The sequence below is a fragment of the Homo sapiens genome, chromosome 9 (genome assembly GCF_000001405.40).
Source record: "Homo sapiens chromosome 9, GRCh38.p14 Primary Assembly".
In the NCBI taxonomy this organism is placed as follows: Eukaryota; Metazoa; Chordata; class Mammalia; order Primates; family Hominidae; genus Homo; species Homo sapiens.
In genome coordinates this window covers 28,190,093-28,208,734 of record NC_000009.12, presented here as the reverse complement: position 1 = coordinate 28,208,734, position 18,642 = coordinate 28,190,093, and the positions used below count along the sequence as shown (strand labels likewise).

Below are 18,642 nucleotides of genomic sequence, written 5' to 3'. Positions count from 1 at the left end.
AGACTGAAAACTAGAGTATTGTTCAGAAATCTAATAAGAAGCAGTTAAAGGCCTAGGTCTCCCCACCCAGCCAACATAGTGATAGCAAGTTTATTCTCCGTAGAAGTAAGTGAGGAAAGCTGTGTACTCCAGGAAACCAGATACAGTGAAAGAAAGGGGAGGCACCGTCTTGAACCCAGGAAATGAGAATTAACTATGAGTCTATCTCCCTACCCCTCACATCTTTTCTCCTCTTTACCTCCTGCCCCCAAGAACCTTGAAATAAAGGTTATAATTCTAGCTTCCTTAAATAGCAGATTGCAGTTATATCCTGAAGAGAAAGCCCAGTGAATAACTAAGATTTGCCGTAAGATATATCATCATAAAAATGCTTTGAATAGATTTAACACAGTCTTAGGATTTGTGTCTATAAATTCAGTTGCATATAGTTCTCCTCCCCCACCCCACAGGCAGCAGTTAGAGTAGGTTACTGTTATTTTTGGTCCTAAGGCTTGTGGTGATTTTTAAATCAAAACGAAAATTCAAAACATAAAATTCTCTTTTAATTGCACTTGTAGTATAAATGGACAATTATATATTTATAAAATCTACATGTTCTTAGGAAAAACTGTATGCATTCTGACATTAGTTTTTACAAAAAGTAAACCAGCAGTAAAATAATGGACAGTGGCCCAATCCTGCTGTAAAAGCAGCTATACTCTAAGATGGGCATGGAAATTAGGTGCCATTGGTAATATTCACATAAGCCAAAAAGCAGACTTTGAATTTCCAATCTACTTATTCATACATGCATGGAAACATTACCTGGTCTCTGTGAGGCATACAGAAGAGCCAAGTTTCATGCAAAACATTTAAAAAAAAAACACCCTCTTTCTCTTTCAGTTTTCAAAATATTGGCAGACACTGCAAGTCTATTTTTGGAATTAAACATAGCTAATTATTTTTAGGCATGGCACCAAATGTTTATGTCTTCATACTCAGCAATTCTCAAAATTGGTTTCTGGACTTTTCTTTTGAACTCATAAATCTCATATTCCAGAGCTGAGACATATACATAAACTTCAAACGTAGGTACCTTTTTTTAGCTTGTTATGTATCAGGGTGAGGATGAAGAAAGAGAAAGATTATTTAGAATGGAGGGGAACATTTTTGTTATTGAATATTGGAAGTGAGAGAGGAGACTTTTTTTACTCTCTGTGAGGAATTTATTGATAGGTTATGTATTTTATTTTCAAGACCAGTACCTTCTCATTGTAAGAAATGAAACAGGTCCTTTAAAAATAAATAAAATTTGAGGAAAGACTTCTAAAGGCATTAATTAGCCTGTCTAAAATCCTTATAAATCTGCTACAATTTATGTAAAGTAACAGAAGATTGTGAGATTGGTATTTTAAGAATCCTAAATGATATTAAACAGCCTTAATCTTCTTAACAAGCTGTGATTACTTCAATTGACTATGTTTACAGTGGGAAATTGGAAAATGTACTTTCTTTGACTTGAATTTCAGGGCTAACCTGAAAGTACTTTGAGTTTGAATAGCAATTATTTACAGATGATATTAAAAATTACCGTATTTAAAGTGAAAAATTATCATTGTAGTGCTATTGATAATAGCAAATGCATAATGCATGGCACATAAATCAGATTCTATAATTAAACATTTAACTTGTGAAGGTGTAATTTTTAAAACTGTTTCATACCTCTAACAGTTAAAATAAATAAGAGAAATATTTATCTATGCCCACAAAAGGTATACATAATGTGTCTAATGTTGACTAATATCCAGGGTCTAAAATGAAATCAAATAGTTCCATCTTAAGTGAACAAAAACTATCCAACTGTGCAGAAATAGTAGGGTTTGTATGATAACTGGGTTGGGAGAAATAATTAAGCCATTGAACCAGTATAACCTAGTAATTGAAGATTGCTTCCAAAATCACGTTGAAAGAGATTACATTACATCCTTATGGTCTTAATAGTAATGCTTCAGATTATAAACACTGGTATTATTCTTGTCTTTTCAAATTTATGAAAACATAGTTTTTGTGACTTATGCATTTTAAAGAGCTAGTATTTTTATCTATCTATGGAAATATACCTATTAAGTACATAAGTAAACTTGGTATTATGGAGTCATTCTAGTTCAAGATTGCAGAAAACCATAGATAAAAATTAAATAAGTTAATATAAGGTGGTGATTTTTAATCTCTAGATAGACTGCCTTTAGCTTCCCTGTGAGTCATTTTGAAACCTTGGACAGTGCAGGCTGAGACATTTCTCAAAGTGACAGACATTTTATCACAAAGCACTGTTTAAAAGTATTATATTTAGTATCAAACTAGGCATTTTCATATTTTTTGTTCTTGATTTAGATATTACTAAACTTGGAGAAGACATACTACTCTTGGAGATGAGTGCTAAGAAAATGTGCTGATCATTTGGAGGCTTTCCAGGATAATTTCTTTTTGTGTGCTTCAACAGCTTATTCTCAACTTTATAGGTCAAACACTCAAATTCCTGAGATATAATTTCTTCCTTCCTCCTTTTTTTTTTTTTTTTTTTTTTTTTTGAAACAGGGTCTCACTCTGTCACTCAGGCTGGAATGCAGTGGCATGATCTCAGCTTACTGCAACCTCCACCTCCTGGGTTCAAGCAATTCTCCCACCTCAGCCTCCTGAGTAACTAGGATTACAGACAGACACCACCACACCTGGCTAGTCTTTGTATTTTTAGTAGAGACAGGGTTTTTCCATATTGGCCAGGCTGGTCTTGAACTGCCCACTTCGGCCTCCCAAAGTGCTGGGATAACAGGCGTGAGCCACCGCACCTGGCCAGACATACTTTCTGCTTTCTAGAGTAGATTGGAGATCAGCATACCTGGGAAGCTGACACTTTAGACTGCACTTGTTTGCCTAGCTTGGACTTGGAACAAAAGGAAATGGAGATAAGATTTGTTTCATCCAGAAAATGATGAGGAGTAATGAACCATCTGTGCTTTTATAATAAAGATCAATTCTCTGGTGACTAGAATATTTCTGTCACCGAAATGAATGATTTTCTACCTGGTCAGATCTGGATAAATACTGCCATGTTTTCTTCTTTGTTTCTCTTTTAGTTGAAGAATTTTCACTAATATTTATTGAGTGCCTAAAATGTGATATTCAAAGTAGACAAGGCTGTTGTCTCCCCACAGTTAACATTCTAGTTAGAGATGATAAAAAACCAGCAGTGATATGTTAAGTAGGTTAATATCAGGTGTTGATAAGTATTATGAAGAAATAAATTTGGCATTGATGATATGACCAAGAGTAATGGATTGGGATAGATCGGGGAAGGCATCTCTGGGAATGTGACGTTTGAGTTAAGATCTGAGGATGGGAAGTATCAGATGTAAATATCTGGGGGAAAGGAATTCCAGGTTAAAGGAACAGCAAAACACAGGTACATGTCAGAAAAGAAAACATTCAGGTGAGGAACTTACATTCTTGACTCTCCAAATGTGACCATCAGGTTATATCATATGCTATTTGAACACAAATATTTCTTCATGTCACAGATATTTCTTAAATCGCTTAAATGTGATATATACTCCTAGAGGGTATAGACAGGGTCCTGATAATTTCCATATCCCCTAGTCTCTAGAATAGGCTCTAGTGTAGATTTGAGATTTGGGACTCAACACATATTTCTGAATTGACAAGAATAGTCACATATGAAGACCATTGCTTGAAATTCAAGAGCAATATCCTGTTACAAAATTAGGCAGAGGCCAATTGGGCTAGTGGGCCAATTCTCTGTTTGACTGGTCCCTGGTTTTGATGCTGCCATATGCCCTCCAAACCCAGGAAAAAAACATCCCCTTTATTAAAATAAACCGACTCAATCTGTTAGCTAATGGAAAAGAAGATTCTGTTCATGGAACCAAGTGCCCACCCATCCCTTGAAAAAGTTTTGCAAAATTTCTGAAAACTCACCTCTTGCCAATTTCAATGGTCTCTCCTTTCTTTCATAAAAGTTAACATTAAAAACACAAATTCTTCTTGGAAGAGTTGCATTTTAAGTAAGTAACTAATCCAAATGATACTTTGATGAAGAAAAACTCAGTCTAGGTTCTGGAACTGAGGGGCAATCAATCAATGTTACTCCCATACACCAGGCACATACAAGATATGCCTAGGGAACTGCTTTGACCCATCACTATGTAAGGAGAAATGTCGCTAACAATTCACTGAGAGCATGATTAGAATAAGTAACCATGGAACTATAATGGAAAAGATAATACAAAATAGAAAAATATACTGACACAGTTGAAGAAAGAGCATCACAGTATCAGAATGTGTGTGAGTAGGTCCTTTTGTTAAAATTCAAACATAATAAACATTACTTAATCGTATTAGTAATTAATTAATCCATTCCACAAAAGACTCAAAATGACTCACAGGGAATACGTATAATAAAATAAGATAGTGTTTGTGTGTGTGTGTGCATGCACGTGTGTGTATGTATATGTACAACTATAAAGACAAGTAGATACAGACACAGATATAGTTAGAGTAATACATGATGTCTAGGAAAACTACAACTGAGTGACAACTAGTTGCTACAATAACATTGCAATCTGGCTTTGGGTATCCCAGAATCCAGTATTAAAGAGTATTCCATGCAACACTAGCCCTTTGTGGCATTCAATAAAAACGTTCAGTGTCACATAAGCTTTGAAAAGATTGTATATACTCTGTGACCCTTTTTTGAAGATTCAGAATGCACACTAGAATAGGAAAGGCTCTGAGGAACAACCGGAAAAAATTTTTGCTGTATTTTCTTAGCCTGTTGTTTCCCAAACATATTGATCATGTAATCCATTTTTGGGTTTGCTTTTTAAAATTTGTTAACACCCAGTAAATCTCTATGAAATAGTATTCCACCAAATACCCTGAGACCCAGAGGCCTAGTGCTCTTAGTTTCCAGGAAGCTCAAAACAAGTGTTGTGTTCTAATTCTAACATTTTGTGATGTGGATATATCTATTTTATTTCTTCCACTGGTGCTAATGCTTTGTATGATATGGCATTTTTCTTGATGCTGTTTATTATTTTATCTTATTTTCATAATATATACTTCCTATGAGTTTATCACATTCTTTATGGAAACCTTTGATGAGTTACTAATTAATAAAGCAATGCTTACTGTAATTCAGCAATGACTAATTTTCAGAATCCTTCCAAGTATGATTCCAAGCTCCTCACTCCTCCCCTGCCTCACTACCTATTCCTCCTTCAGAACCTAGGCCCAAAAGAAATACCCCTCTTTGTAATGGTTCATAAGAGGAGGCACTGCAGCTATTACTGTCATACTTCAGTGGTTGGAGTCCATCTTTATGCCATGCAAACCAAATAGGTGCTTCCTCCCTTGACTGTTAGCAACAATATCAAAGCATTGCTTAGCAGAGTGAACATTAGGAATGACATAAAAGTACTCTCAAGTAGTTACATGAATTATGTAACACATTGACACAGTGAACACATTGAAACACTATAGTGACATTTAAAATCATCTTTTCGGTGAACACTTAATGTTAGGTAATTTAGTTCACTGCATATTGCTATGTTAAATATAGTCTCAATCATTATAGGTGGAAGGCTATACATTTCATTGTAATTTTAAAGAATAATTTCCTGCTTTTTGTTTTAAAATTTTAATATTTGTTGTGTACCCATTAGGTTCTAAGTACTAAAGTATGTACTAAGATTTGTAGTGAACCAAACAAAGCCCCTGCTTTACAGAGTTTACATTCTATTCACAATAAGCCTGTGTCACTTGTGAAATGAAAAATAGCTAAGAATTATTTTCATGTATCTTTCCATCCCCTACTTGTTTACTGGAAGTTTGAGAATGTCAGTTTGTGCCATGACTCAAGCTCGGGAAAGAGAACATACATTGAGCACTTCATATCTTGCCAGGCACATTCCTACATTCTCAGCCTAATGAGGTACATTATCCCATTTTACATTTGTGAAAATAGAGGCTCACAAAGGTCCAAGGTGATATGTTAACAAAGTCACATGATTTGAGCCAGGGTTTTTCTGCATTGATAGCCCCTCCAGTTTTGTTTTTCTAAACAATATATATGACAATAAAGGAAATGTTAGTGCAAATCCTTTCTGGCGGGGGGGACGGGGTGAGGGAACAGAATTACAGCCACCTCCAGGAAAGAATTGTCACCCTAAAAACTAATTAGTGAGCTTTTGTTTCCAAGTCTTTTCAGTGGTTTTCAGAAGACATCAGGCACATTCAGGGAGGTATGGCTGGTAAACTCTTTTCAGTGGTTTTCAAAGAGTGGATAGCTGATGGCCCTCTGCATCAAAATGTGCAGGTGTATTTGTTACAAATGGTGTCTGTTAGATGCCATATCAGACCTATGGAGTCAAACTTTCAAAGAGAGGGTTATGGGTTGAATTGTGACCCCCTGGAAATTAATATATTGAAGCCCTCATCCTGATACCCTAAAATGTGACTTTCCTTAGAAATAGGCTGATTTAAAATGTAATTAGGTAAGCTAAAATAAAGTCATACTGGAGTGGAGGACTGTATTATAATATGACTGGTGTTCTTATAAAAAGGGGAAATTTGGACACAGGTAAATGCACAGAAAAAATGCCACGTGAAGATGAAGGCAGATGTCTACAAGCTAAGGAACACCAAAGATTGCCAGCAAACCTCCAAACTGTGGGAGGCATAGAATAGGGCCCAGAAGGAACACAGCCCCCAGAAGGAACCAACCTTGCTAACACCTTGATTTTGAACTTCATGAGAAAGAGGAAGGGAGATCGCAAGTGTAGCATCAACTGCTAGAGCGGTGGGCTCATTTATTCTGAGTTCTCTTATGAAGGTTGTAGAGGAATTTAAATAGGGGGAGGAGGAAGGGGAGGAGAAAGAGCAGGAGGAGGAAAAGAGAGGGGAGAAAGGATGTGGGGGGAAAGGAAGAACTAAATATGAGAAGGCAAGCTAACTGAAATGGCATTATAACACTTTTACACTGTTGGTGGGACTGTAAACTGGTTCAACCATTGTGGAAGTCAGTGTGGCGATTCCTCAGGGATCTAGAACTAGAAATACCATTTGACCCAGCCATCCCATTACTGGGTATATACCCAAAGGACTATAAATCTTGCTGCTATAAAGACACATGCACACGTATGTTTATTGCAGCATTATTCACAATAGCAAAGACTTGGAACCAACCCAAATGCCCAACAATGATAGACTGGATTAAGAAAATGTGGCACATATACACCATGGAATACTATGCAGCCATAAAAAATGATGAGTTCATGTCCTTTGTAGGGACATGGATGAAATTGGAAATCATCATTCTCAGTAAACTATCGCAAGAACAAAAAACCAAACACCGCATATTCTCACTCATAGGTGGGAATTGAACAATGAGATCACATGGACACAGGAAGGGGAATATCAAACTCTGGGGACTGTGGTGGGGTTGGGGGGAGGGGGGAGGGATAGCATTGGGAGATATACCTAATGCTAGATGACGAGTTAGTGGGTGCAGCGCACCAGCATGGCACATGTATACATAGGTAACTAACCTGCACAATGTGCACATGTACCCTAAAACTTAAAGTATAATAAAAAAAAAAAGAAAAAAGATATCAAGAAATCAAGTCTCAAGGAGAGCAGTATGATTTTGAATTAAGGAGGCAATAGAAGAAAAAAAAAAAAAGCTGAATCTGTCAGCCCAGTAATTAAAGTTAGTAACCAGGTCAGGAGTCTTGTACGGTGATTTATTGATTTATTGATTTATTTTTAATCTTTTCTTTGTAGATTCACCTGAGTATTTAAATACATATAAAGGGATCCACTGTTTTTAACCAAAGTCATTTTGCATGGCCTTTGCCTTATTCTCTAACATTTTTATCACTGGACTTTAAAAATGCTGATATTATTCTGCATATAGAAATTTGTGGTAAGACATAGATGACTGGAGGGTACTTATTTATGTGTTACTTCTATTCTTTATTTATTAAACAGCCCTATTACAATTAAAATATTCAACTTTACAAAACAACTAAACTCACATACAGATCTTTATCAATAATATCTTCCATAATGAGAGTCATACCTTTGCAGCCAGTATGTCCTGATTAAATACTAAATGTTCAGAAGTAATTTAGAAGTATTCTTAAAGCCATATGTAAATGGTTATTTTTTTTTTTCCTTAAGAGAACTATACCTGCTTTACCCAAAGGATTGCTCTAACCTAACCTACATGACCCAGTTCTTTCTTTATGGGATGAGATGCTACCTTGGATAAAGCCTGTGTGATCTTAACGTGGTCTTATTTATTCTTCCAAATTTGGAGGCTTTTTTTTCCCCTAAACGTAATAAAATGATAAAACTGGAAGGAAGTTTGAAAAGTCATTAAGTCTAAATCAGACCTAGACACCAACACTATCTTTTGCTTAAAATAACTCCAGAGGCAAGGTTACCTATCTTAGTCACTGTTGTGCAGTTTAAAACCCTTATTGGCAGGAACTGCATTAGCTTAAATGTTTATTGCTTTGTAAATCACACAATACTCTGTTATTTGTGAACACAGAGCTCCTTTTTCTTTTAAAAATTCCCTGTTGTGAAGAAAGTGTTTTGTTGTAATTGTTGTTTGCTTGTTTAGTTTTTTAATTAGCTTCCATTTTTCCAGGAAGTCTTTTTTTTTTTTTTTTTTCCTAAATGAAGTTCAACTGGTATTTCAAATTGAATTTCAGCTAACAGAAAATAACCACGAAGTTCTTTGTTTGGTTATCTTTATGACCTGTAGTTTTGGAGCCCTATACTAATACTTTAAAAGGTTATTATCGGATGGTAATATTGTTTTTGAAGAATTATCTTTCAATGTATTGGTCATGTATTATATTCACTAGAATGATATGTACTACTTCTCTTAATTATTGATATAATATCAGTATCAGAATAGAAAATTAATATGTGAAAAAATGTTAATTCAGCTTAGCAGAGATAAACATTGGGAGGGAGATGTTCGTTTAAAATATGAGAAGCAAGCTGAGCCACCTAAAAATGAAGAAGGGGCCAGGCGCAGTGGCTCACGCCTGTAATCCCAACACTTTGGGGGGCCGAGGCAGGCGGATCACAAGATCAGGAGATCGAGGCCATCCTGGCTAACACGGTGAAACCTCGTCTCTACTTAAAATACAAAAAATTAGCCGAGCGTGGTGGCGGGCGCCTGTAGTCCCAGCTACTCGGGAGGCTGAGGCAGGAGAATGGCGTGAACCCGGGAGGCGGAGCTTGCAGTGAGCCAAGATCGCGCCACTGCACTCCAGCCTGGCGACAGAGCGAGACTCCGTCTCAAAAAAAAAAAAAGAAGAAGAAGAAGAAGAAGAAGATAGCCCGTAGTCTTTCAACTTTATGAGTACATTAGAGAAAAAATAACCCTTGGATTTAATGAAATGCATGCCTTCATCATAAAGCATTTATTAATTGCCTACTATGCACCAGGCAATGTGCTAAGGAGGCAATGGGAATAAAGATAAATAACAACCCAAATACCAGGAGTCAGATAAATAAGTTGAAGTTTGCAATGCTGGGTAATAAGAACTATGATACATGTATTTACGGGGAATTGTTGAGAAATGGTATTACAGATGGTGACTTTTTCAAGATGTACATGGAAAAGAAATTATCTAGGAAATCTTCGTAATAACATTCTAAGCAAATCTTCCAATAATGTTTTTACTTTAATTACAATGAAAAGAATTGCCAGACTTTCACATCTTTCAACAGAAGACAAGCCAGAGCACTTGTCAGGAAATCATTCAAAAGCTAGCAACGGATGGGACATTTAAGGTCCATTTTGACTCTGAGATCCTAAATTTCCGTGAGATTGTATGTGCAAATAAAGGCAAACTTGTCCTAAACTTTACTGAGCTGAATACTAGAAATGCCCTAAAAGATAGGGTCATCATTTTTCTTAGCTGCTGTCTGCCAGGAGTGTAAAGGATCTTTTTGACTGTTTTCTTCAAAAATGAGAAACCAAAAAGTATAGTGGAAAAAAAATGATGATTTTTGTTAAGTGATGGTTGTGACCTCTCAGCAGCTGGAAGTTCCTCAAGACACTTCCATTTTTAAAACTCACTTGGCATATTTAAAATGAAAAGGAATAGCAAAATAAGTTCTAAATGAAAATATTTTGTCATTTTTGCATCAGTATTCATATGCAAAGGAAAGAAATTGAAAAGCAAAAGTATGATTGTTGAAAAGTAAATTGGCTTCTGTTGCCATTCTCCCTTGACACAAACTCTTGCTACAGTTTCCTATACAGTATATTTATCCAGAGAGTATCTGTGCATATCCAAGCATGTGGTATATGTAGGTCCATGCACATTTATACAGAATACTAGTGGTAAAACTGTATACACAGCATTCTGTAACAGGCTTTTAGAGTTTGTTTTTTTTTTTCATATTTGTCCACAGAGAAATGGCACATCATTTTTTAATAAAACATTGTAACTTAGAGTCAACTTATTGATGGACATTTAGTTTTTTTTTCCTGAAATTTCTCAATGTTGTTCCTCAAATATATATCTGTAGGATAAATTCCTACGAGTAAACTGAGTAAAAAAAAAAAGTGAATGTAATTTTGATTGCTGTGCTCAATTGCCACCAATAGAGTTTTAACCAATTTTCCCTCCCATTTATGTAATGTGTTTACACACACATTTATTACTATGGTACATTATTAAATTTTACTCATTTTTCCTGTGTGTCAAAAAAATGGCACTTTACAGTAGTTGTAACTTACATTTCTCTTATAATGAGTAAGGATGATTCATAGTCTTTTTTTTTAATGCAAATTTTCTATTTCTTGTTGACTTGTCAGAGTTCTTTAAGATAATTAACCTTTGTGGTATGAATCACAAGCATGTTTCTCCAGTTTGCCATTTATCTTTTGATTTGATCATTTTTATGCTATGCAAATTTTCTTGAATTTTTCTAAATTTCATTTACTCTTTCCTTTTAATAGTTTCAAAGTATTATACTTAGAAAAACCTTTACAACTCTGCAGTTCCTAAAGAAAATTCATTCAGGTTTTCTTCCACTTTTTACTGCTTTTATTTGTGTTAAAATCTTTGACCCATCTGGAACATATATTAATAAAAATACAACGAAGAAATACAACTTTATTATTTTTCCCAATTACTAATGACTATTAACATTTTATTAAGCAATTTATGCCTTCCCTAGTGAATTGAAATGCCATCTTTATTATATTCACTTTACTATAAACTAAATTTTTATTTCTGGTTGTTTTAATCTGTTTTTTTTAAATCTTTACTACACTGTTTAAGATATTTTAGCCTTATAACATATTTTAATGTTGTGTAGACTAGCTTCCCATAATATTCTATTTGTTTTCCTTAGAATTTTCCAGGAATCCTTGCATATATTTTTCATGTAAACTTTATTTTTATCATTTTAATCTTTTAAATTAAAAACAAAGTTTTAATTATAATGGATACATACTAGTTGTATGTATTCATGGGCTACATGTGATGCTTTGATATAAGTATGCAAGGTGTAATGATCAAATCAGGGTAATTGGAAGAAATTATCTATCTCCTCAAGGATTTATCATTTCCTTGTGTTAGGAGCATTCCAATTCCACTCTTTTAGTTACTTTGAAATATACAGTAAATTATTGTTAACTATAGCCACCCTATTGTGCTACCAGACAGTAGATCTTATTCCTTCTGACTGTAGTTTTGTACCCATTAATCATCTCCACTTTATCCTCCAATCCCCACTTCCCATCCTGGCCTCTGGAAGCCATCATTCTACCCTTTATCTCCATTTGAATATTTTTTTGGCTCCTACATATGAGTGAGAACATGTGATATTTGTATTTCTATACCTGACTTATTTTGTTTAACATAACATTGTCCAGTTCCAGGTAACCTTTAGATATAAATTGACTAAATTTTAAAAATAATCTTTGGGTATTTTTATTATGATACCATAAGTTTTCTAAATTGATTTAAGAGAACTGATACCCTGATAATCTTGAATCTTCCTATCTAAAAAATGGCACAATTTTGCATTTGTAAGGACCTCTTTCTGTTTCTTAGTAAAAATTAAGACTTCTATCCATTTCAATTATTCATATTTTTGTCAAGCTTTTTCTGAGATATTATACCTTTTTGTTTCCATTGTAAATGGGGTATTTTCCTCTAATTTACCTTGTTAATGGGTACTGCTTGTACATATAATGTCTATTAATTCCAATATGCTAATTTTGAGCAACTACCTTTCATGAGTCTCTTATTACTTTCTACAGTTTTAATTGATTTTCTGGGCTCTTCCAAGAATATAAACATAGGTCTGGAAATTCTGATAATTACATTATTTATTTTCAGATTTTTAAAATTTTAATTTTTCTTCTCTTGTCCAGTACCACTAGGTCAATATTAAATAGTTTGATGATAAAAGACATTCTTTCTTTAATCTTCAATTTAATGTGTGTTTTAACAATGTAAATCCATGTATGTGTATATTTCAGTATCTTGAGAAGTATCCATATATTTTGATTTTAAGAGATTTTGTCAAAAAGGATGTTAGCATATTTGTATATTTATCACACACTTATCTGCATCAGTAGAAATAATCAAACGGTTTTTATATTGATTTATTAATATAGTTGATTATATAAATATATTTATTTATGTTAAAGCATTCTTGTATTCATGGAATACACCAGTTTTTCATGGATTATTGTTATTTTATAGTGCTGACTAATTTGATTTGCTGATAACTTATATAGAACCTTTACATTGATACAATAAATGAGCATGGTTTATAGTTTTGTGTATGTGTACATCTTTTTTTCCATGCTGTGAAGACATTTAAACAGAGTTTTCTGTTACTGAAAATGGTATAATTCTTTTCATAAAAGCATCTTTGCTATAAACTATGTATGAATAAATAGGAGATTTACTTATTTATTGGAATGGGGAGATGTTTGTTGATGGAAGTTTTTCAGATCTTTTCTGGCTATAATTTATCTGTTCTGGTAATATTATTTTCTTAGAAAATCATCTGTTTCATCCAAGTTCCCAAATTTGTTTATATAGGGTTGTGAAAAAAATCAATCTTTTAATATTTATTTAATTATTATTATAATTATGATATTTATTTTTACCAAATTCTTGTTTATCAGAGTGAAAAAGCATCTTTTAAGTGCCTCTCCATATCCCATGTTTCTATTTTTTATTATCATTCCTTATCTTTCATATAATTATACATTTTTCTATTTCGCTTTTTGTCGCTCACCATCTTGTTATTTAAAGGCAACTTTCTTGAATTTTTTTAATGAGTTCCATAACATAGTGAGATGGCAAAATATAAATGAGGGTAGAGAGGACCTAATCCCCATGACTATTTCAGGTAGGTCTAATTAATAACTATCACATTTTATGCCTTTTCCTGTCAAATATATTGTAGCTGGTTCCTATACATTCCAACATGTAGGTGTCCACTGTTACTGTCTAAATAGTCTGTAATTCTGCTTTGACTTATATTTTGTTCTAAAAGTTACTTAATAGAGTATTTTCCCCTTAATTTCAAAAAACAAATGTTTACATTTCTGTTGTTTGTTTTTCCTAGGTTTTATTACTAATCCTTTTTGTTTTGTTTTGTTTTTGTCCACTTATTCTGTTAAGGCTAGAAAGAGGTGACTTAAATCCTCTACTACTAATATGTTTCAGTAATTACTCTATATATTTAGTAGTTTTGCTTTATAAATGTTGATGTTATATTATTTGGTACATAGAAATGAGTAATTGTTAGATCTTTGTACATTGCACCTTCATCGTAAGAAAGTCTTTTTCTTGTCTGTTGCTTTTTTCCCTGAAATAAACTTAAGTTAAATTATTTTTAGCTTAATTAATTTAATTAATTAAGCTAAGAGTGCTTTGTAGTTGTTTGCATTGGCAGGTGTGTTTTTATTTTTTTCTTTCTTTTCCTGATTTCTATGTCACATTGTTTTCCATACATTTCTAAGATAGTATTAATTTTGAGTTTTCTTTTTTATGCATTTTGAAAGCTTTTCCTTGTTATTAGTGAATTTAGCCATTTTTTTTTTTTTTTTTTTAGGATAGAGAGTTTAGGTCTTAGCTCTGTTCTTGTGAAAGGAATATGATGAAGTGATTGAGATAATGTACTCTGGAGTCAGACTGCTCTTCAAATCTCAGATCCACAATTGATTAGTTGCAGAGACTTTGGCAATTTACTTCACTTCTTTTGCCTTAATTTCCACATCTGTAAACTGGTACCTTTCTCAGAATTACAGGGAGGATTAATTAGGTTAGTATTGGTAAAAGACTTTAAAAAGTGCTTGGCCCATAGGTTTGTTACTATTATTATATTTTGTGGCATATATTTTATTTTACTTTTCACTATATTGTCTACATTCAGTTTCTATTGTTTTGTTATGTATTTCTTCTGATACCATGGAAGATATAGTAGATTGTATTTTCCAAAGATGGCCACGACAGTATCTCTCATTTCATTTGTTCTTACTATTTGACTTCAACAATCCCCTTTTGGAAAGGTGGAGCCTGTGTCCTCTCCCTTTGAAACTGGACTGGCATTTGTGACTGCCTTGACCAACAGATTAAAGTAGAAGAAATGCTATGTGACTTCCAAAACAAGTCATAAAAATGCCATACAATTCCACTTTTCTTTCTTTGACTGCTCACTCTGGGGCAAATCAGCTGCCGTATGAGCAGTATGACTGCCTGGAGACTGTCCCTCTGTAAAGGAGACCAAACTAGCCTAGAGAGACTCTAAGACTACATAGAGAGAGATGCCTGGGCAGCTCCTAGTTACTCCAGTCTCTGATTGTTTCCACTGCAGCCTCCACATGAATGGACTCACACGAGGGACTCTGAACCAGAACTGTCAAAAGTTCTTTCTCAGTTTGTGACCCACAGAACTGTTGAGAGATACTAACGCCACTGTTGCTGTTGTAAGCCACCGAGTTTGGAGGTGACTTATACAGCAATCGCTAAGTAGAACAAAAGTTTGTATTTTTGTTCTAGTGGTTACCTTTTTTCCCCTAAAACATAGTAGTGGTTACCTTTCTATCAATAGCTTTATATAATGTGTTTAATCTTCTATTTTCTGAGAATGTATCTATTAGCTCTTTATGAGTCTTGATGTAGTTAGGATAATCTTCCTTTACTGTCCAATTTTGGCATGTGATATATTTATACTTAGTGCTTAATTTTATACCTTTCCAAATCCTTAAATTTTTAATTAAAAGTTAAAAAATAAAAATTAATTTCACTTGTCAGTTAATAAAGCCACCAGCAAGATATATGTGAATTTTATGCAAAAATTTCTAATGAATCTTACTTTGTAGTAAAATAACATGGAAAATGAAAAGCAGCCTTGGTAAATGTGAGTCTAGTTCCTAGATCTAAGAAGGAAGGGGACTATTCAAAGGAAAAGCATTGGGGTTGAACTCCTATTTATAATAATATCATTAGCTATAACATAAAAAAATTCAGAAATCATTTGAACTCCCAGCATAAATCTTTGAGAACATCAGTGTAATCTATCTTTTCATCTTGATTCCTCTAGGAATAAATTAAATTTGTACTATGTCAGTAACCATCAAATGTGAGCTATTCAGCACTATACGTTATGACATACAAGTTAGGCCTTCTAAGTCTCCCCAATTATCTCTTCTCTTAATGTCTTTAGAATGTGACTCAGTGGGTATTGTTGAAATTATTTTATCTTGTGCCCCTTGGGAAGGAGGCAGAAGCCTAAAAGACAAAATTTTCACATAGAAAAATGTATTTTCAAAAATATAGACCCTAACACCTACATCAAATATTTTTTCTTTATGTACATATAGTACTGTGTCAAAGAGAACCCAGATTGGCCACTCGGATAAACTGATTAATCAGAAATAAAACCAGCATTTTGCATAAAGTGTCTAAACATGTAGTGATAAAAAAATTATGACCCGTAGAACATTGCGGTGTTACCATTTAAAAGTACATAGAAACAGATTGACTTTGCATTAAGTTGTCTACACAATGAAGAAATACATCACCACAGAGCCAGGCCAGTGGGTTATGTGTGGGTTATAGCATATCACAATCAGAGACACACAAAGAAAGGAGAGGAGGCCACCAAGGAATAGGAAAGAATTGCAATCACTGATAACCAAGGGTTATATAGCCAAATATCTAGGTAGGCACGGCATCAGTGATTTGAAATTTATTCTGAAGAAAGTTGCTTATGCTAAATACTTCTTAAATAATTAATTAAATTAATTAATTCAGTGAACATTTACTGGGTTCCTATTTTATGCAGTTGAAAAATATGAAAAGCCACTAAAATATTTACTCTGTTTATACATATGTATATAAAATGTATATATATAACATGTATATATATTTGTGACTATGAGCATGTATGTATGTAAATATGTATACACACATACACATTTGAGAGATGATGCAGGTATCTTAGGTTTGAGCAATGAGAAGACTGTGGTGCTATATTGAAATGTGGCAGAGTCATGAAGAGGCTGTAAGAGTTTAGGTTTGTCTATATTAAATCTGAGTTTCCTTTGAAATGTACATATTTAGATATCAAGTATGCAGTTGGAAATACAAGTCGGGCTTTCAAGTGGAGAGGCCAAGGACGGATATAAACATCTGGGAGTCGACAGAATATAGATGTTATTTTAAGCCCTAAGACTAGAGGAAATAACTAAATAGAAAAAGACATGCACTGGGCAGATTTAGTGGTCAAGTAAGAGAATAAGACCTGGCAAAATCAATTAGAAAGTAGCTGGTGAATCAGAAGAAAACCAGGTTACTGTCATTTTACTGAATATGGGAAAAGATAATGTTTCAAGAAAGAAGGAGAGGTTAAAACTTTAGGTTCTGCTGAGAGGTCAAGGAAGATGTGGATAGAGACATCACCATCGGGTTTATCATTGAGGTTACTGATGACATTTACACTTGTTCTGAGCACATGTCATGTTCCTGGCATTGAGCATGTACATAATAGATGCTCATTAAATATTTTTAAAGAGGAAGGAAGCAAAGAAGATGGAAGAAAGGGGGTTAAGAGGGAGGGAGGGAGGCCTTCAAGAAGGAGAAAAATAAGAGAAGGATCGCTAGATAAATGAGCCAAGTGATTTTATTTTATTCTTCCTGCCTAGACAAAAAATGAAAGTTGATTGTGTGAGATGCTGGTTAGAAAATGAAATCACAGGCAGCAGGAATAGGATCTAGACTCTCAGCTGCAGATTTGGGGGTTCCCAAGTTTTGGGCAGAGCTATACTTTACCTCTATGAACTATAGATACTATATATGATGAAACAGTTTTATACAGGCCTACTATAAATAGTCAAATGTCAAGAAAATAGTAGAAGTCTTCACCGCTGTGAAGCGAAGTTATTTTATTCATTTATTTTTACACAAAAATGTTTCTTGTCAGAAAGCCCAGCTTGCCTGCCTAGAGCCAATTTAACCATGGGACCTTTCTCATGCTTTCTCTTAAATTCTCTCTAGGAAAATATGATTTGGGACTGGTTGTTTATTTTAAAGAAATTAAGAAACAATGACTAAGCAGCTGCTTTAATCCTTAAGACATACTGCCTTCAAAATGCTAACTGGCACCTGGCTGGCAAAGAGCAAATAATTGTTTCTCCACTTACACAATTGCAAATTATTTGGTCACTGTAGTGTAAAACAAAAAGAGAGCTGACATCTGTCTGGTATATTAGTTGTTAAATTCTCATAATTCATTAATATCATCTTTAAAATTTAGATGTTTCTTCAGCAAGAGTATCTATTATCAGTTAGTTTGGACTAGTGGCTTGACCTTCCCCAACTCCTCCTAATGAATAGCTACCTTTGTACCTGCAGATTGGATGAACAGAAAACCACAAAGAATGTCCGGGCTGGTTTAACAAAATACCATAGACTGGGTGGCTTATAAACAATAGAAATTTAATTCTCACAATTCTAAAGGCTGGGAAGTCCAAGATCAAGGCATCAGTAAATTCTGTGCCTGGTGCAGACCCTCTTTGTGATTCATAGATGACTGTCCTCTTGCTGTGTCCTCACATTGCAGAAGAAACGAGAGAACTCTCTGGGGTTTCTTTTATAAGGGCACGAATCTCATTCATTTGGGCTCTGCTCTCAGGACATAATCACATCTCAATGGCCCCACCTCCTAATACCATTACACTAGGGGTTAGGATTTCAACATGTAAATTTTTGTGGGGAACAAAAATATTCGGTTCATTGCAACCAGAAACTGACTTCTTTTGATGCAGTATTTTTTAGCATACTGGAGAGGTAGTAAAATACTGTGCAACTCTGCACAAGCTACTAACTTCTTCCGAGAAAAAAATAAAAACAGATACACTCCCAAATTTTACAATTGGGGAAGTTTATCAACCCTTAAAGCCCATTTATGGACAAAACAGCTCAGGAATTCTGAAGGTATGGACAAGACAGCCTGGCATCAGAATTACTATGGAGCTAAGGAAACTTGAAAATGTGGCTGTCTTGGCCATACCACGTC

General features: G+C 34.3%; 1 protein-coding gene across 14 annotated transcripts in view; it reads left to right on the top strand.

Moving 5' to 3' along the window:
- LINGO2 (leucine rich repeat and Ig domain containing 2) overlaps nucleotides 1–18,642 on the top strand; it is a 1,275,985-nt gene that overhangs the window by 1,004,867 nt on the left and 252,476 nt on the right. The window lies entirely within an intron of this gene.